Source organism: Homo sapiens, chromosome X (assembly GCF_000001405.40).
Source record: "Homo sapiens chromosome X, GRCh38.p14 Primary Assembly".
Classification (NCBI taxonomy): domain Eukaryota; kingdom Metazoa; phylum Chordata; class Mammalia; order Primates; family Hominidae; genus Homo; species Homo sapiens.
In genome coordinates, this window is record NC_000023.11 from 20,248,308 (window position 1) to 20,268,466 (window position 20,159).

At 40.7% G+C, this 20,159-nt stretch overlaps 1 protein-coding gene across 14 annotated transcripts in view, besides 5 other annotated features; it reads right to left on the reverse strand.

The window, feature by feature from the left end:
• RPS6KA3 (ribosomal protein S6 kinase A3) overlaps positions 1 to 18,790 on the reverse strand; it is a 117,187-nt gene extending 98,397 nt beyond the window's left edge. For 10 of the 14 annotated variants that reach the window (XM_047442333.1, XM_005274573.3, XM_047442332.1 and 7 more), the window contains exon 1: positions 18,257 to 18,602. In XM_047442333.1, coding sequence (XP_047298289.1) covers positions 18,257 to 18,325 — 69 coding nt within the window. In that variant the 5' untranslated portion in view covers positions 18,326 to 18,602. Of the gene's footprint in view, positions 1 to 18,256; positions 18,603 to 18,731 lie in introns of those variants that run through there. The other 4 variants (XM_017029719.3, XM_047442335.1, XM_011545561.3 and 1 more) reach the window with 3 other exon arrangements.
• Positions 4,644 to 4,938: an enhancer, noted in NCBI's record as "tiled region #15471; HepG2 Activating non-DNase unmatched - State 14:Gen5', and K562 Activating DNase unmatched - State 12:CtcfO". NCBI's record gives its function as "activates a minimal TATA promoter and a strong SV40 promoter by Sharpr-MPRA in HepG2 and K562 cells {active_cell/tissue: HepG2 | K562}" and the evidence as "EXISTENCE:reporter gene assay evidence [ECO:0000049][PMID:27701403]".
• Positions 16,833 to 16,882: an enhancer, noted in NCBI's record as "active region_29481". NCBI's record gives its function as "activates an Ori minimal core promoter by ATAC-STARR-seq in GM12878 lymphoblastoid cells {active_cell/tissue: GM12878}" and the evidence as "EXISTENCE:reporter gene assay evidence [ECO:0000049][PMID:35858748]".
• Positions 18,063 to 18,322: a silencer, noted in NCBI's record as "silent region_20696". NCBI's record gives its function as "represses an Ori minimal core promoter by ATAC-STARR-seq in GM12878 lymphoblastoid cells {active_cell/tissue: GM12878}" and the evidence as "EXISTENCE:reporter gene assay evidence [ECO:0000049][PMID:35858748]".
• Positions 18,443 to 18,662: a silencer, noted in NCBI's record as "silent region_20697". NCBI's record gives its function as "represses an Ori minimal core promoter by ATAC-STARR-seq in GM12878 lymphoblastoid cells {active_cell/tissue: GM12878}" and the evidence as "EXISTENCE:reporter gene assay evidence [ECO:0000049][PMID:35858748]".
• Positions 19,084 to 19,378: a silencer, noted in NCBI's record as "tiled region #100; K562 Repressive non-DNase unmatched - State 2:TssF". NCBI's record gives its function as "represses a minimal TATA promoter and a strong SV40 promoter by Sharpr-MPRA in K562 cells {active_cell/tissue: K562}" and the evidence as "EXISTENCE:reporter gene assay evidence [ECO:0000049][PMID:27701403]".

Consider the following 20,159-nt stretch of genomic DNA (forward strand, 5'->3'; position numbering starts at 1 on the left):
AATAGCAGGCATAGTTTTAATGAGAATGCCTACAATATGTCCCCATGAAGCATGATGCTGGTTATTGGTTTGAGATGATTTTTTTAAGTATTAAGGACATACCCTTTTATTCCTATTAGTAAAATTACTGGGAATAAGTTTTTAATTGAGAATAGACACTTTAATGCTTTTTAATTTTTTTTTATTTTTTGAGACAGAGTCTCGCTCTGTCGCCCAGGCTGGAGTGCAGTGGCGTGATCTCTGCTCACTGCAAGCTCCGCCTCCCGGGTTCATGCCATTCTCCTGCCTCAGCCTCCTTCCAAGTAGCTGGGACTACAGGCGCCCTCCACCATGCCCAGCTAATTTTTTGTATAAACTTTTTTTCTTACATTTTATTTAGACATGATCAAATGATCATAAAGTCACAGGAAGTTGCAAAAATAATACAGAGAGGTCCCATACACTTTTAACCTACTTCACCCCAGTGGTAACATCTTATATCACTTCCTGTCAAAGCCAGGATATTGCAACTGGTACAATGCACAGATCCTACTCAGATTTCACTGGCTTTACAGGTATGTAGCTGTGTTTTCTAGGCCATTTGATCACGTGTGGGTCTCTATATCCACCACTACAGTAAAGATACCGAACAGTTTATTGCCACCAGGATCCCTCATGTGGCCCCTTTACGACCACACTTCCCTCCCCTTTTCCTAATTCCTGACAATCAGTAATCTCTTCTCCATTGCGATAATTCTGTCATTTTAAGAATGTCATATAAATCATATAGCATGTGACCTTTTTTTCACTCAGCATAAATCCCTTGAGATTCATCCAAGCTGTTGTGTGTATCGACAATTCATTCCTTTTTAGTTAGCGAGTAGTATTATTCCATGATGTGGATGTGCTAGACTATTTGACCATTTACCCATTCAAGGACATTTGGTTTCTAATTTTTGGATAGTACAAATAAAGCTGCTAGGAACATCTGTGCACAGACTTTTATGTGGACATAAGTTTTCATTTCTCTGCGGTGAATGTCCAGGAGTACAACTGCTGGATCATATAGCAAGTATATGTTTATTAATAAATGGCCAAACTATTTTCCTGAGGGGCTGTATCATTTTATGCCCTCACCAGCAATATATGAGTGATCTAGTTTGTTTGCATCCTCGCCATTTATTATTGTCACTATTTTTTATGTTGGCTGTTCTAATAGGTATGTAGTGATACCTCATCATGTTTTTTCACTTCCCTGATAGTTAACCATGCTGAACATCTTTTCATATGCTTATCTGCTATTCATCTTTGGTGAAGTGTCTGTTCACTTCTTTTGTCTATTTTTTGCCTGGATTGCTTGTCTTTGTTATTGCTGAGTTTTGAGAGTTCTTTGAATATTGTAAATACAAGTCCGGTCTCAGTTACAGGTTCATACCCTTCGCAGAGTCTTTTTCATAGATAAAAGGTCTTGAATTTTTCAGAAGTTCAATTTATTGTTTTCTTCTTTTATAGAATTTGCTTTTGGTCTCAGGTTTAAATGCTTCATTTAGCCCACAGTCCTGAAGATCTTCTCCTATGTCTAAATTCTAAAAGTTTTCTAGTTTTACATTCAAATCCATGATCCATTTTAAATTAACTTTTACACAGTACGAGATTTGGGTTGAGACTTATTGTTTTACCTATAGGTGTGCAATAGCTCCAGACACCATTGTTGAAAAGGCTATTTATCCTTCCTCTATCAAACTGCTTTTGTAACTTTGACAAAAATCAGTTGGCTGTACTTACGTGGGTCTATTTCTTGTTCTCCATCTTATTCCACTGATCTATGTGTGTATCCCCTTGCCAATACTACAGTATTTTGAGTACTGGATATAGTAAGTCTTAAAATCATTTGGAAGGGTTCCTCCCATTTTGTTTTTAGAGACAGGGTCTTGCTCTGTCACCCAGGCTGGAGTGCAGTGGTGTGATCATAGCTAACTGCAGCCTTGAACTCCTGGGCTCAAGGGCTCCTCCTGCCTCAGTCTCCCAAGTACCTAGGACTATAAGTGCATGCCACTATTCCTTGCTAATTTTTTAAAAAATTGTTTTCCTAGACATAGGGCCTTGCTATATTGCCCAGGCTGGACTTGAACTCCTGGCCTCAAGTGATCCTCCCACCTCAGCCTCCCAAGGTGCTGGGACTACACCATTAAGTTTTATGTTAGCTGTAGGTTCATTATCAAGTTGAGCAAGTCCTCCTCTATTAGGTGGCTGAGTTTTTATTATGAATGAATGTTTAACTTAGCTAAATTTTTCTCTTTCCCATAAGCCATTTTATGATCAAGAAAAAATACGTTTTCTCCATTAGTATCATGTGACTTGTCTTCTTTAACCTTTTAATATGGTAGGCTACCTTGAATGATTTTTGAATACTGTGTCTGATGTGGAATAAAACCCACTTGGTCATGGCATGCAATTCTTATATGTTGTTAGATTTGTTTTGCTAGTTTTTGTTGAGGATTCTGTGTCTATGTGCTTCAGGGATATTGACCTGCAGTTTTCTATACTATCTTTAGGTTTTGCTATCAGGATAATACTGGCCTCATAAAATGAGTTGTAAACTGTTCTCTATTTTCTGGAAGAGACTATGTAGAATTTATGTGATTTCTTTATTCCTGACAGTCCAAGTTTCCTTCTTTTATCATTCTCTTTCAGGGTCTGCTACTCACAAATTCTCTTAGTTTTCCTGCATCCAAGACCACTCTGATTTTACCTTCATTCCTGAAGGATATTGTCACTTGGTATAGAAATCTGGGTTGACAGTATCTTCTTTCAGCACTTGAAAAATGGTGTGCCATATCCTTCTGGCATCCATAGATGTTTTGAGATGAGGTCTCACTGTGTCGCCCAGGCTGGAGTGCAGTGGTGTGAAGATGGCTCACTGGGGCCTTGACTGTCTGGGCTCAAGTGATCCTCCAGCTTCAGCCTCCCCAGTAGCTGGAATTACAGGCACGTGCCACCATGCCTGGCTATTTATTTTTATTATTGTTATTATTTGTAGAAATGGGGTCTTGCCATGTTGCCCAAGCCGATCTCGAACTCCTGGGCTCAAGCAATCCTCTTGCCTTGGCCTCCCAAAGTGCTGGGATTATAGGCGTAAGCCCCTCAAAGTGCTGGGATTACAGGCGTAAGTCTCCCAAAGTGCTGGGATTATAGGCGTAAGCCACTGTGCCTGGCAGACGTCCATAGATTCTGATGGAAAATCTGCTGTCGCATGAGTTGTTCCCTATAGGTAACAGTTCATTTCTCTCTAACTGCTTTAAAGATTCTTTAATTTTCAAAAGTTTGATATTTTACTTTTTCAATTGTCATAAAACATAACATAAAATTCACTATCTCAACTATTTTAAGTGTATGGTTTAGTAGTATTAAGTATATTCACATTATGCAACTAATCTTCAGAACTATCTTGCAAAATTGAAACTCTGTATCTATTAGACAATAACTACTCATTTTCAAAAGTTTGATTTTGATTTTGTCTAGGAGTGGATTACTTTGCATTTATCTTATTTGGGATTCAGTCAGCTTCCTGAATCTGTAAGATTATGTCTTTTGCAAAATTTGGGGAAATTTCAGCCATTATTTCTTCAGGTCCAGTTTCTTTTTTCCCTTTCTGGGACTCTGATGACATAAATGTTAAATCTTTTGTTAATGTTCACCAGGCTCTTGAGGCTCTGTTCATTTTCCAGTTTATTTTTTCTCTATTGTTCATTTCTATTGCTTTATCTCCAATGTTATTCTTTCCTATCATCTCCATTCTTCTATCTAGCCCATGTAGTAAGTTTATTTGTTACTGTATTTTTCAGTTCTAAAATTTCTATTTGGTTCTTCCTTATGGCTTCCATTTCTTTTCTGAGACTAATTTTTCATTTGTTTCAAGAGTGTTTGTGATTGCTCACTGAGGCATTTTTGTGATGGCTGCTTTAAAATTCTGGTCTGATAATTACAACATCTGAATTATCACAGTGATGATGTGTGTTGACTGTCTTTTCTCACTCATGTTGCGATTTTCCTGGTTTTTGGTATAAGTGATTTTTTACTGTCTAATGGATATTTGGAGATTATAGGACTCTTTCCTATTTAATCTTTTTTTTTTTTTCCCCGAAGCAGGCAGTCCTCCTGTTGAGGTGGAGTGTGTATGTTCAACTTCCCTCTGGGCCGCACCAACATCACCCAGGCAAAAGTGGAGCAATGACTCACACTGTTTTGTTGCAGATGGGTGGGACGGAAGTTCAGCTCCACTCTTAGTCCCAATGAAAGTAGGGCACCAACCTGTATCACCTCACTGCCTCTGAGTAGGGGTGTAAGCTCACCTCCCTGCTGGGCCCCACTGATGACAGGGAGGAGGAAAGCAGAGGGCTGACTCAAACTTCTTTGTTGCTGCACTATAAAGCCAAAAGCTCAGCTCCCCAAAGGACCCAGCTAACAACAGGGGAGGGTAGAGAAGGAAGCAGAATGCCAACTAGCCCTGCCACCCATCACTTGCCAGATGGGAGTGAAGGCTCAGTTCTCCACTGGGCCCCACTGACATTAGTGGAGGTAAGATGTGTTGAGAATCCTACCTCCAACCATCTTGTTCTGCCTCGTTGATGTAAGGTGAGGGTAGAGTATGGATTAGCCCTGGCTCACGTCACCTTGTTAAGTGTCATTGCTTCTGGGTTGGGGTGGAGGCTCAATCTGCTACTAGACCCCACTGCTGCTAGACACCACCCTGGCAAGAGCATAACTTCCTTCAGCTTGAAGTGGAATGAGGGAAAACGCTTCCTGCCTGGTCTGCCAAAACCACCCAGCAGGGGGAACCAAAGTGCTGTCTGCTTTTGCTGGGCAAAGAAATGGGTGCTTAGGTCTCTGATCTCCCCAGCCCACACCACTGGGTTGGGGAGTGAGAGCACTGTTATTTGCTTCTTTGGGGTGGGGTGGGGTGGGGTTTTTCTGATGGTATTTGGCCAGGGTAGGGTGAGTATTGTCAAAAAGGTTTAGACTTACTTGGCTACCTTTCCCCCAGTTGTTTGTCTAAAGGAAACAGGCTTTTTCTCAGAGCTCTTTTTGTCTGTGACTGTTGGCAGTTCTAGTTTGGAGGCTTTCATAGCACCCTGTCTAGGATATATGGGAGGTGACAGGAAGAACACAAATAGTGAATTCCCTGGGTTTTCTTGAGTCTCGAGGTCTGCAGGCTGTTTGCCTTCTTTTTCCACCTTTAGAGTGTTCCTGTGCTTGTTTGTTATGTCTACAGTGTTTTCGCTGTAAGGGAGATCAAGGAGGAATAGGGGTCCTCTATCTTGGCAGAACCAGATGTATCCTCCAAGTGATTAATTTTTATGTTGAAAATAACATTTATTTTCTAATTTTCCACATTATGGTTGAAAATGTACTACAGAAAACTGCTGTAACATTATAGGTCATAATTTCCTCCTAAAGATCCAATTACATCTGCTTATATTATTCTTTACTAATTTACCTTGTTTCATGCTATTAAACTTCCTGCCCACCCTAGTACTTCTAGACTTTAATGTTCCAAAAGAAAATAAATCCATTTAATTCATTTTCACCTAGTAGTATACTATACATACTCAGAAGAGCTGGCGGGGGAGGGGAGGTGGTGGGCAGGAGATAGCTTTAAAACTCATTTATGAGCTCTTCTTTTTATTAATCCAAGGCAAAACTTATTTTTAATTTGCCTATGACATTTCTCTAAGGATTACTTAATATGAACATCCATTTTGATAGCTATTACTCTTGAATTATACCAACAGCCAGCAGGAACTTGAAGGAAAAGAGGCAAATAAGGTTTTGTTTTATTTGCATTTTTACTTCTTCAAATAACATACCTGTATACGTTACTTCACTTGAGATGGATTCCTGAATTCATTTATCTGTTGACTTATATTTAATTTCAGAGATTCTAGGCATATTATCTTCCTATTAAGATTAATAATTAATCTTCAATTAACTCTTGCACTTTTGCTTTAAATAAGAAACTATAGACTAGTTTAGGCCGAGGAGACTCTAAGGAAAAATATCACTGCCCCAATCTTTGTTTTCTTTCTGTAACTTTCTTTTTTAAGTTCTATAACCAATATTTAATTCTTTGTTGTGTTCCTCTAGGAATTCCACTCTGGCTGAGAGAAAGGGTGCCCTAGGTGAGAGGTATCCTAAGGCACTTTCATAGAACCTAGAGCTCTATTAACCCATTTGGAAAACCACTATTTTAGGAAAAGCCTTGTATTTATCAAATCTAAAAAGAAAGAAAATATCTTAAAAGCACGTATTGAAACTAAGTTTTCTGAGAAGAAATACATATACAAGGAACTTCCCTATCAGCATTAGAACAAAAGCCAACTTAAGTCCCTAAAACGGTAACAAAATAAGCACGTGAATTATGTATACGAATGGACAAGAAGCACATGAAAAGATCCTTAACATCATCAGTCATTAGAGAAATGCAAATCAAAACCACAATGAGATACCATTTCACACCCAGTAGGATGGTTATAGTAAAAAAGACAATAATAAGTGATGGCAAGGATACGGAAAAGCTGGAACTCTCATACACTGCTGATGGGAATGTAAAATGGTACAGGCCAGCTGGAAAAGTTTGGCAGTACCTCAAAAAGCTAAACATAGATTTACCATATGACTCAGCAATTCTACTCCTAGGTATATATCCAAGAAAACTGGAAACATGTGTTCACATAAAAACTTAATACGAATGTTCACAGCAGCATTATTCATAATAGCCAAAAGGTAGAAACAATTTCCAACGTCCATCAACTGATAAATGGATAAACAAACTGTGGTATATCCATAAAATAGATTATTCAGCCACATAAAAGAATGAAGTCTTCCTACATGCTACAACATGTATGAACCTTGAAACATGCAAGAACCTTGAAAACAGACACAAAGGCCACATACTGTAGGATTCCATTAATATGAAATGTCCAGAATAGGTGAATCTAGAGACAGAAAATAGATTAGTGATTGCCAGGGACTGGGGGAATGGAGGAAATGGGGAGTGACCGCTAACATGTATGAAATTTCTTTTTGGGGGTGATGAAAATGTTCTAGGAAATAGATAGTGGTGATGGCTGCACAACCTTGGGAATATAGTAAAAGCCACGAATCATATACAAGGGTGAATTTTATAGTATGTAAATATCTCAATTAAAAAAGGAATTAGGCTGGGTAAGGTGGCTCATGCCTGTAATCCCAGCATTTTGGGAGGCCAAGGCGGGCGGATCACCTGAGGCCAGAAGTTCGAGACCAACCTGGCCAACATGGCAAAACCCTGTCTCTACTAAAAATACAAAAAATTAGCCAGGCGTGGTGGTGGGCACCTGTAATCCCAGGTACCTGGGAGGCAGAGGCAGGAGAATCACTTGAACCCGGGAGGCAGAGGCTGCAGTGAGCTGAGACTGCACCACTGCATACTCCAGCCTGGGCAATAGAGCAAAATTTCGTCTCAAAAAAAAAAAAAAAAAAAAAAAAAAAAAAGGAATTAGGCCGGATGCAGTGGCTCATGCCTGTAATCTCATCACTTTGGGAGGCAAAGGCAGATGGATCACCCTGAGGTCAGGAGTTTGAGACCAGCCTGGCCAACATGGAGAAACCCCATTTCTACCAAAAATACAAAAATTAGCCAGGCGTGGTGGTGGGCACCTGTAGTTCCAGCTACTCGGGAGGCTGAGGCAGGAGAATAACTTGAACCCAGGAGGCAGAGGTTGCAGTGAGCCAAGATTGAGCCACTGAACTCCAGCCTGGGTGACAGAGAAGAAATACATATACAAGGACCTTCCATATCAGCATTAGAGCAAAAAGCTCTGGGTGACAGAGTGAGACACCGTCTCAAAAAAAAAAAAAAAAAAAAAAAAAAAGAAAAAAAAAAGGAATTAATTAGGGCTATTTGACCTGACAGTCTAAGAAAAAAAAAAATGATTGCATAACTTTCCTTTTAAATTTCCTTTTCTTATACGATAGCAAGATAATTGTTAACATTTTTGGGTTGAGCCAAATTCTGTTTTCTGGCACTTTGAGGGAACATCAAGTAGATTTTTCTGAAAAGAGGATGCAAAGATAGAGAGGTAACGATTTAATAAGCTGCAATCAAAGAACAGAGCACATTTACTCATGCATACACCTAGAGGCTTCTGTAAAGAGAGCTGTTAAGTAATGTCTAGGCAGGCCCCCCTTTTTCCAAGTACTGTAATTTTTGTTTCAAACGTTAGACATTTTGTTTTATTTGTAAGACAGCTGGTTAGAAATCTCAAATAATCTTCCCATACAATGCCATAAATGCTGTTTTTCAGGCCAACTCACAAAAGCCTATTTAACCCACTGTATTTGGAAACTAACATCAACTTCACTCAGTTTTACTAACTTTTTAAACTTTACTTATTGACTACTTAAGCACTGTCTCTATTGTGAACAGCATTCCTAGTTCATGCCAGGATCACATCATCTCTACAGGCCTCCTTGGTGAGAAGAGGGCTTCATGCTACATACATACATATATTTATATATGTGAGAAGTCACCTATCTCTCTAGGTTATTCTCTACATCTCCACAATAGCTACCCATGTAAACTACCTGGAACCTTTTTCCCCTGTAGCAGATTTCATTTAGACTGAGTCACTCACCTGGATGTTCTCAACTCAAACAGGGCTGTGTAGTGAAAAGTCATTAGAATTTGCAATCTGTGAGACTTGGGTTTGAATTCTGGCTCCTTCAGTTACTAGCTGGGCAACCATGAGCACGTTATTTAACCCTTCTAGGCTTCAGTTTCCTCATCTGTAAGTTGAGGATAATTCTGTATACTTCATTCAAGTTGATATACACAAAGTGACTTGTCAAGGGGGGCACTCAATAGACGTGAGCTTCCTTCCATCTTCACTTGGGAAAGAAAGAGCAGTGATCTTAACGTACCCCTCACCCTTGGTTTGTAGGTAGGAACATTCTGAAGTTGTTTTTGTAAACTAAGGACTGTATTTTCCAGACTTACGAGTTAAAATTAGCAGAGAGTAGAGAAAAAGTAATATTTGAACTTTTGTGCATTGTGGCTCTTTCAGAATTTGTATTTAAGATAGTTTACATAAAATTAAAGAGTTGTATTGATATGATGTGGATGACAAAATGAATTTTAGTGAAATAAATGTGCTGCACACGCCAACTCTGACTTTGTTAACATATCACCTGCAGCAGGTCTGCCTGAACAGGTCTCAATTTTCTTACATAAATAGGGTAGGGCTAAGTTGTTCTCTAAAATTATATGCTAAAAAAATTTAAATGCTTTCATATTTCAAAATGCACCAATCCACTTTTTCCGTTTTAACTAGCACAGTACAGTGAATGCAACACAATATTTAAACAAATTACCATACAGTAATTTATTTATCCAATAATATAGAAGATAATTGTATATTTTTCTCCCCAGAGACATTAGTCTTACTGTTTATGTCTCGGTCTGTAAGCTCGGTGCACAAGAGGAAACTTGTAATTACAACATTTTTTGATATTTAAATTTGCCCCAATGCTTTAGTGTTATCACTTGAATGAGATGTCACAGTAAAACTATTAAAGCTGTAGGAAGAGTAGAATGGTGATTTGTGGGGTATGTACCACCCTAGAGGGTTTATCAGAATCTTCAGGGTAGAAAAGGACAAAACTAACCTGATTAAACATAATTTGAAAAAGCATGTTAAATATTTGTTTTTAGAAAAGGTTTAGCCTATTAATTTCAAGATACAAATCATACAAGGTAGAAATGAAAAAACACTGGTGTAAAAAATGCATTCAATTTGTACTAATCCTGTAATCTGGAATTGTACTGTTCAACATGGTAGCCAATAGCCACTGGTGACTATTAGATAAAATTTAAAAGTTCACTTCCACACTAGCCACATTTCAAGTGCTCAACAGCCACATATAGATAGCAGCTACTGTACTAAACAGTGCTGATCCAGAAATTTTTTGTGATTTTAAGTAAATCTTTATTATTTTACATTATTTTCAGATAGATGCCTCTGTTCCTAAATGTGAAGAAATGAAGTAACATTCTAGGTAGCTGAGATTTTTGCCACAGGTTTTACAAGATTTCTGGAGTGAAGATTTATCCCAAACCACTGCACTTGAGATGCATTTCAATCTATTAATGTCAAAATGATCTTTTGCTTCAGGCTATCATTTGACATCTGCTTCTAACACATATCAAATGACTGAACCAAGTTTCCTAGGACAAGCTTTGTGGCCCAAAGAATTAGAGACAAGCTCACAGAAATCTAAATGACCAGGTCAGATTTGAAGATGAGATTATCACCATATGTAAGATTATAAAAATCAATTTATATGGTGGACAAAACAAGTTTTTAAGTTATATAAGAGACCATGGATATATTAGTTAAGATGGGAAAATTCGATTTAACTTATGGTTGTAATTCTACTATGACAAGAAATCTAAAAGTGCTTTTAGATTTACACCTACGTGTAGAGTAACAAATATTTAGGAAACTAGCACTACTTTATGAGAACAACAGAAAAGGACTCACAATGTGGAGATGTGACTCCAGGCAGGGCAGTAGGCTAGCTTTCAATTTAAAGCTGCCTGTTTTTTAGTTCATTCATGTTCTACTTTCTAGCTGACATCTTCAAGAGAGGAAGGTAAATATGCAGGGCAGGTAATGTCAGCAATTGAGCCATTCTGTTATGGTATGTAAAACATAAAATCACTATTTATTATTTGGTAATATGCCCAGCAAATACCCCTGACCCCAGAGGTATTTGTACATGATGAGCAGAGACCAGAAAAAGAGTGAGGATGCTATTTTACATTATTTGGAAACTGTAACTTTTTTATATTACTAATCCTAGCTATCTATTCTCTAGTAAGTGAAAACAAGAAGCAATTAATTTAAACAGGAAAATGGGAGAGAAAAGCAGATTAACAGTGGCATAAAGTGGCATATAAGAGAATTTTTAAACTACAAATATTAGACATAAGTTACAGAAACAGTCAAGGTACAGGCCATTTAGTAGGGGCAATTAGCTTGATATTAAGTAGAATATGACCATTAATTTTCAGAACAGTGAATCAAAAGTGTAAATTATTTTTAACTTTTATTTAAATTATTATTAAATTTATATTCACTATTAAGACGGAACATTTTTATACAATTTAATTTAGAAAGATTTCAATTCAAAATGAAACAAAACTCTTGACAGTTAAAGAAAACACTTCAATATAGTCAATTAAACATAACAGCTCATTTCCAGGCAATACTGGATCGCGTTACTGTAGTTATCAGACTTTCCAAAACTGTGTTCTGCAAAGCACTTTGTGTCCACTGAGACTTCAATAGATGGTTTACAAAAAAGGGGTTCTGACATCAAGTCTCAAATGCCGTGGGCCATATCCATTTTGCAGATTCATTGTATACAACATCTTAAAAGTTCTAAATTATACAGTAAAGACAGGTTAAATCTTATTTAATGCCACATTTCCCCAACTTACTTGATTATGCCACACTACCTTATTTTTTGGAGGGGGGTGATTCTTGAGGCATGGATACACCTTTTAACATCATATCTCCAGAGACTTTTCGGCTTGAAAAATACTATATATACTATTTAGAGTTCTGTAAGAACCAACACCACATTACAGACAAAATCTAAAGGATTACATTTCTAGACAGGAAAACCCAGTTACCCTATGGCATTTCGAAATAACTAAAACAAATGTATTTATAGTAATGGGGAAGGAGGTGTGACATATTAATTTCCTTCCCTAAAAATTAACAGAACGGATTCATCCTAAAATATAAAAAGGTGTGCACATTTTGTGTTGGTATGTTTTAGAAAGAAAGTTAAAATTCTACCTATTGATGCTATAAACTGACTTTAACCATTTCTTCAGGGACACATTATCTTCAAGAGGTAGACATACAGAATACACTATATTTCATTGATTAAAAGATACAATCAAGTGTAAGATACACTATTATTTTATATATTGTTAAGGAAAAACATGCTGCTAATTAAACTATGACATCCCATGGACTGTGAGACATCTTCCAATTTGAGCAATGTTAAAAATGTGAACAAACTTTCCTTTCTTCCTTCTTCCACATATATTCTTCACAATGTTGTTTTTTCCCTTTAAAGACAATACTGAGGAAGGGATCAATGCAAAAAGGGTAAGATTAAAGAGATTTCTGTTCCCCTTGCCCTTTCAATTACGTTCAGATATTACCATGACTATTTAAACTGATCAATCAAATAAATCACTTTTAATTGCTTTGCTGGATTCTAAAAAATTACCCCAGAGGAAAAACAAAGAACTGAGACAGTTCTTTAAGAGGGATGATTCATTGTAACTATTGTTTATTAAAAACTTAAACCATGTACTGAACCAAGTACTTTACATATATTATCATTTCATTTAATTCTCACCAAAACTCTATGAGGTAGACATTATTTTCATCCCTATTTTACAAATTAGGATGTTGAAGTATAGAGATATTAAATATAACTTGCATAGGGTTACAAAGTTATTAAGTGGCAGAGCCAGGACTCAAACACAGGTCTTTATGGCTCCAGAGCTTATGTTCTTTAACACTTTGCTATTAATCCAAATAACCCCACAAAGTCCCTTCTAAGTTTTAAGAATGAGCAAAAACCAAATTACTTAATTACTAGTAACTAATGTATTTGCTTAAAATAGGTCACATGACAAAAAGACAAATACTGCATGTTCTTACTCACACGTGGGACTCATAGGTAGGGAGTTTCTACTCAGAATGAGAGTTACTAGAGGATAGGACGAGTGTGGGGGTTACAGAGGGGGTGGGGGTGAAGAAAGGTTGGTTAATGGGCACAGTACATACAATTGGATAGAAGGAATAAGTTCTAACAATGGATAGCAGAGTAGAGTAGGGTGACTATAGTTAATAACAATGTTTTATATATTTCAGAATAGTTAAAAGAGAGGATTTGAAATGTTCCCAACACACAGAAATGATTAATGGATATCCCAAATACCCTGATGTGATCATTACACATTCTATGCATGGAACAAAATATCACATGACCCCATAAAAATGTACAAATATTATTTATCAATTGAAAAGTAAACATTTTGGTGTGCCAAAGTTTATCTTTCAACAGTTTGTTTAACCAAAGAGACAACTTCCTCCTATGTTTCTGTACATTAGGGATTAATAAATATTGGCTTTTAAATTGTACAACTTGATAAACTGTCAAAAAATAAATAGGCCAAATGTATTAAAATAATCATAATGTGCTATATGGATACATTTTATCCTGAACCTGTTTTATAAAACACATACACACACAGACACACACACATTTGCGTTTGTTTTGCTAAATCATGACAAAACTTAATGATTAAATATGGTAGTTTTTACTGAACGATTAAATAGGGTAGTTTTTCTTTGTTTTAATGCTTTTTGGTGTTTAACTGATAAACTAGAATATCTGAGATCTGATATCTCCAGGTTAATGATACAGGTCACTGTATTAATTCCAAAAGAACACACTGATGGGAGTGGGGTGGAAGGAAGACATTGAATGCTAGGTATTACAATTTAGATACTTGTTTTTTTCTATTTATGTGAATTGGGGAACGGGATGTATAATATATGTACTTGCACAGCTGCATTTCAATGCTTTAAAATGTGTTATCCACCAAAGCACATAAACAACTGAGCACTATCACACGCAGGCATTACCAGTGAGACCACCACCATGTCAGTGTGTCATTCATTATAATCTGAACCGTTGGGTCTAAAGCACCCATTCTGCACTGGGTCAACCAGGCAAGTGTGACCTTACCCATCATTCACAGCCTGGCAGATCACATGTCCCTGAGCATTGAACTGTAGAGCAAATCTTGTTAATTATCACAATGGTATGAATTTCTTAGTAATAAAAATTTTTAAAAACTTTAGGACAATTGTTCTGCAACTCAGACTTCTAGATAAGTGATCTGTATTTTTGGTCATTCTATAATTTAGCAAATGTCAAGTCCTTGGTCAGGAGTACACAGTCCAATTATGCCACCTGTCTTATTAAAAATAAGATATACTTATTGTGGTTTCCAGAAATGTATACTAAAGAGAAGACAAAGTCTGCCTATATTTGCTCCTGCAATTAGATAAAAGTTTTATTAATAAAATTTAAATGCATCCAGCAAGTTTCACATTTTGAATCTACCCCATTACTACAGGATCAAGCTGCCAAAATAAAGCAAAGTTTTCTAGATTTTACAAAACTGACATCCTCTATCATAATCACTGAAAACAATGAAGTGTTCAGTAATGGGTCACAGTTACTTGACAGTTGACATGTAACAATACCTGTCCTCTCCTCAGATCTTCACTTAGGGGAAAGAAAAAAACCTGAAAGGTGGTAAAAATAAAACAGGAAAAGGAAAAGAAACAATAAAACATTTTTTTTCAAAATCAATGATTATACTTTAATAGAGCATTTTCCCTATAGATAAAATAAGAAACCTATATAATATTGATATAGTAGAAATACTATAAAATCTATGTACTATACTATAGAATACTACATAATCTTTGAGGTTAAAAATGGCTGCACATTCACTAAACATGATCTCCCACACAAAGGCCTCATTTTCTATAATAAAATACTTATATAGTTGATTTTTTAAATATTTTTCAGTGCATCATGGGTACCTGTTATTTAAAGGAAGTCGAGGTAGCTATTTTCATACAACACATTGTTTAATACACATTGTATACAACACATTATATTGTGGCTATTTTATATAACACATTTCTATAAAACAAAAATAACCTCCATAATTTTATCATTTTGAAAACTTCATATTTAGATTTACTATCATTTATACCTACTCTATTGCAGTGGAGAAAAAAGTATCACTCTAGGTCAGGCTTATGATCCACTAAATGCTGTCTCTGACAGCACTGGCAAAGAATTTGTACAACAGAAGAGCCATAATTCCTACCTATCCATCCTCTAAACAGTCAAATATTCAAAAGCATATTAGCATCTTTAAGTAACTCACTAAAGAGTTCACCTAGACCAGTTAGGAAGCTAGTTTGTTTTTTATCTTGTACCAACCCTTACTTTGCTTACATAGTACTTCCTTTATTATCCTAAATTTGCTTCTTTAAACATTTGGCCTAGTTCTAGCCTATCATGTTCTGACCCACGTTTGAGTTTAACCACAAGGGTTTTTTTGTTTTGAACACCATGAGATTCGTGTGAGGTCTTAAAGCAGGAAGGCCAGTGTAAAGGAACTGAAGAAACTGCCTGTGTTTTTACTGAGGCACTGAGGTCTTTTTAAATTGTTCATATTTTAATGAGATTAAAATGATAAAAAACAGATAAGATTCATAATCATCCTATTCCTGACTTTCATGATTCATTCAGCAGATATTTATTAAGTCCACAATATGTCAGGGCCAGGCATTGTGCTGAATGCTGAGGATTCAGAGAGGGGGGGAAAAATGTCTGCTTTCAAGAATTCACAGTGTACTAGGGATGAGACCATAAATGTAAACTCCTACACAGACCAATCCTGAAATCTTTTAACCTGGAGAGAAATATTTTGATGTATTCACTCAAGTAAATGACTCTAAAAAAAACTATGTTACTCTGGTAAAATACAATTATCTGATAGGAACCTACTGGGGGAGGAAACGGTATAATAGTGAAAATATTAGACCTCTGAGTGGAACTTTTCAACCTTTCCCTCACTGTCTTCAATATTTCCAAATTGTATCAGAAGTAATTTACTTGAAATAGCTGAACAAGCAAAGGAAATTAAATATCTAAAGGCAATTTGTTAGAATTTAATTTTAATAAATCTTGGCAACACTGGCTCTGTTTGACATACTTTATGCCAGGATAGCAAGAAAATTCTTTGAAAACAGCAAATTGTGGAATCCTATCTGTCAAGTTCTGGAAAACATGATAGTAACTGAAATAACAAGGCTTTACCAAATGAGACCTCTTATAATACTCTATTTGTTTCTGGAAAATAGATGACCTCTAACTACTGGCTTATTTATACCCCGAATTTTTCCACAAAAGATTTGGAACAGCTACCCTGATATAAAACGAAGCACATGAATTGTATCCACCTGGCTTTGAATTATGGCTCTGCCATTTACTATTTATCATCTTTGTACCTTTTAAATTCTGAGATTTGGTTTCCTAATCTATAACAATGGGGACCATAATCCTACCCTGCTGGGTCACAGGAAGGATAAAATGAAATAGTAATGTAGCACAGTACCTGGCATACAGTTGGTGCTAAATAAATATGTTTTGTCCTTCCTTATCCAAATGCATTCCAGATAGAAAAAGGATAAGGTGGAATTCTAAACGATATTGTTTTCCTATCACACTGATACATGCCAAGCAGAAATGTGGACTGATCTTGAGTTGCAATTGTTAATGTTTGTATGTAAAAGTCAGGCTCAAAGCAAATTTAATTTCTTTCCACAAGTTCAGTACTTTGCGAACATTTTATTAACCTTTTAGCTATATTATTTAATGCAAAAAATTTTCTGGGGAAAAATATGACGAGCTCTTGCATACTGTTTTTCACACTACCCATCTAAAGGATTATTAAACATCATAAATTTGGCTTTTTAATAAAATATTTATAGTATTAGTCTGGTTAACAATTTTAAATAAAGTTCTTGTGATTCTGCCAGTCTTAAAAACATGATTTCCTTTCTTTCTTTCCTTTTCTTTCAACATATATCAATGTCTTTTCCATTGAAGAGCAGCATTTAGTTCAGGTTTTACAAGTATGATCCAAGTCGCAAAATACTAAGCACCAATCATAAGCACTATTACAACTCTGCGTGCGTTAAGGAGAACAAGCAAAATTGTTATACAGCAGCGGAGGTGACTGGGGGAAAAAGTGAAAAGCGATTTGAACTGATCCCCCGCCCTCTCCATTATACCGGAGAATGCAAGTGTCCCGCATCTCAAGATTAAACTGAGCCTCGGTTTTACTGACGTAACCAGTAACCCTATCTACTTCTCACACTGCGGAGGCCGGCAGGGCAGCGGCTGCCGCCAAGCACACCACTCATCAGAGCCTGCCCCGTTCCACCCCCGCGTTTCAGTCATGCTTTCCAGAAATGGGGTCACTCACTCAGTAACTATTACACACACGCAGCCTATCATCCTGTAATCCCCTAAAGTCCGCTGCGGGGAGAGAAGGCAGCAAAAAGTCAAGAAGGAAGAATCACAGACGCGCCACCATCAGGAATTGATTTTCCACTCCGGAGAGGAGCGGTGATACCTTGGAACGGGTCTTGTCTGGATTATTTTCGCAGACCCCGAGTTGTTCTGGGATAGGGGCGGTTCAGGAAAGCTCGGTGTAGTGATGCGCCCGGGGAAATTCTGTTTTGCCCTGTTTGGGTATATTGTTTGGGTTTTGGGCACTAGGATGGGTGACTCAGGGACGGTCACCAGATCCCGGGCGAGGAAAACCAGAAAGCCTTTTACGGCGGCCGCTGATCTCCTTGAATATCACCCTCTCACCTCCATGGACAGGAAACTCAAGTTAAACTCACAGGGACGGGGGTCTAGCTCTGCGACCTCAGAAACGGAGGGGGTAGGGGACCTTAGGCTTCCGCTTTCTTCTTTGCAGCAGCAGAAACCGCTGCGGCAGACGAGGGGGAGGCAAAACCCTGCACCCCCTACCCGAAACCCCCACAGGTCGCCGCCGCCCGTGCCCCGCGCGCCGGTCTCCCCGCAGCAGCCCCTCCCTCGGCTGGACTCGAGAGTCCCTGCTCCCCGGTGAACCCGATCCCTACCCCTCCCTCATCTCCCAAAGTCGCCAAGGTCCGGGAAAGCCCCCGACCCGGCTGGGCCAAACTTCCCAACTCCCCGCCGGCCCCCGCTCCGCCTCCCGCTTCCCCCACGCAAAGTTGATTAAAATTGGCTTCTTGCAAAGCCCCAGCGCCCACTCCAAACCCCACGCGCCACCACACTGGCAGCCCCCCGAGCGAGGGAAGGAGGTGAGGGTGAGGATGGAAGGAACAGACAGACCGGCCAATAGACCCACCCCAACAACCCAAACCAAAACCCTGAGCCCGGGGGAAAGACGCGAGCGGGATCAGAACGGGCCGAGTGGCCAGCTCCGGGGAGCGAAGCGAGCCGGCGGGGGCGCGAGGAGGAGATGCGCCGGCCCCGGCCGCCCTGCTGCACTCACCTCAGCGCTGTCGGACGGGCTCTCCACAGCCATCTTCTGCCACGGGTCCGCCAGCTGCGCCAGCGGCATCTTCCCCCCCGGCCCGCCGCCTTCACCGCCTCCTCCCTCCCCGCCCGCCCCACGGCCGGCCCCGCTCCGTCGCCGCCCGAGCCCCACGGCAGCGGCGGCGGCGGCGGCGGCGGCGGCAGCGGCAGCGGCAGCGGCAGCAGCAGCAGCAGCGGCGGCGGCCCCAGAGAGGGCTCGACGCCGACGCCGACCGCCCGAAAGCCGCGCGCCTGGCCAGAGACGCCCGCGCGCTGAGCGAGAGCCTCGCGCCTCCGCTGGGCACCGGGTCTCGCCCCTTTCTTCCTCTCCTCCTTCCGCCGCCGGGACTACGGCTCCGCCCCCCCCGCCGGTTCCCGCGCCCGCTCCCAGCAGAACAGCGACCGCCGCGCGCTCCCCCACTTCCGCTCACAACATGGCGCCTAAGCGATACCTGTCTCTCAAAGCGAGGCTCGGCCGCCGCCACCACCGCCGCGCGCACCCAGGGGCTGGGCTAGTGGAAGACACGCCCCCGGCCGCTGCGCTCCGCTCCTCCCTCTTCCCACCCCCCTCCTTCTGCGCCCCAACCTCAGCTTCTGGGCCTCGCCTACTTTCAGGAAGGGCGAGCCCAACAGATCTGGGGGCGTCGGCGGGAGGCGGGGGAAAGAAATGGGAAAGGCAGGAGGGGCGAAGGCTGGGAGCCTTTCACCGCCAAGGGTCCAAGGAGGTCGGAGGCTCCTTGGGAATGAGGGAGAACAGTGGTCCCCGCCCAGCTGGGGAGGGAGGTGGGCAAAGTACCGGGGGCGCAGTCCCGAGCCAAGGACCCGGGGAGGGGTGCGGAGTGTCTTTTCGGCTTGTCTCCTCCGGGGGTGCGTGCGTGCGGACGCGCCTAGTCTCTGGGCGCATCCCGTAATGGCCCAAGACCCTCCCTCTTCAGGGTCACATGCTGGGAAATCACCTGCCCCCCATCTCCCCCGACGGAGGCAAGGGAGGCTTCGTGCCTAGGAGCCTCCTGGGGGCTCGGCTCCCGGTTTGATTCAAGTCTTTTCAAGTTGACGCTCTTTTGTTAAATTGTGGCTATTTGGGATTAATTCCTCTTGTATTAGTCGCTTCCCCCGCACCGCCCCCAGCCCAAATTCTCCTCCCCAAGTGCGCAGAGCTCTCGGCCTTCAGCTGCGACCCTGGAACCGCTGCCCCCCGCCCCACGTCTGCTACCTAAATCTTCAAGAGGGGAAAACAGGGAGGTTCCTTAAGGCTGTCCCTCTCGGTAGAGGTTGGAGAATTATTTAAAAATATCTTGTAGGCAGGAGCGCGGGGTTCCTGCTCCTCTGTTGACTTTAAATAAGAGATTAGATTTAAAAATCAGGCTGGCCGTGGGCGGAGGAGGAGGAGGAGGGGGACAGAGGGAGGGGAGGGGTTCTGACTCCTCCTCCTGCCCAAGATGGGGAAGCCCTGGATTAAGGAAACCCAATGCCCCGACGGCGACGGAGCCCCACAGGACGGCGAGAGCTTTGGGGGGAAGGCCTGGGCGTCCGGGGTGCGTCCCAAGAGGACTCGACCCTGTGTTCACTGCGCCAGGAGCCGCTGCGCGCTAAGTGCGCCCGGGCAGAAATGTGTAAAAGTCGCAGGGCTGAGTGGAAAGCTACTGCAGCCCCTGGCTAGTCGCCCAGCGAGGGGAAGAGAAAAAGCAAAGGGAGATCTCCGAGCCGGCCTGTCCCTTCAAACCCTCAGGCCGTGGCCCAGGCATCCCGGTCTTCCCACGCCCAGCGACCACGGCGCGTCCGCTGCTGCGCTCCCAGCGCACGCCTATTAACAGCTTCCTTTCATCCTCCCGGGACCCAGACACCTGGAGAACCCTCGCCTGCCTCCCTAAGCAGGTGTG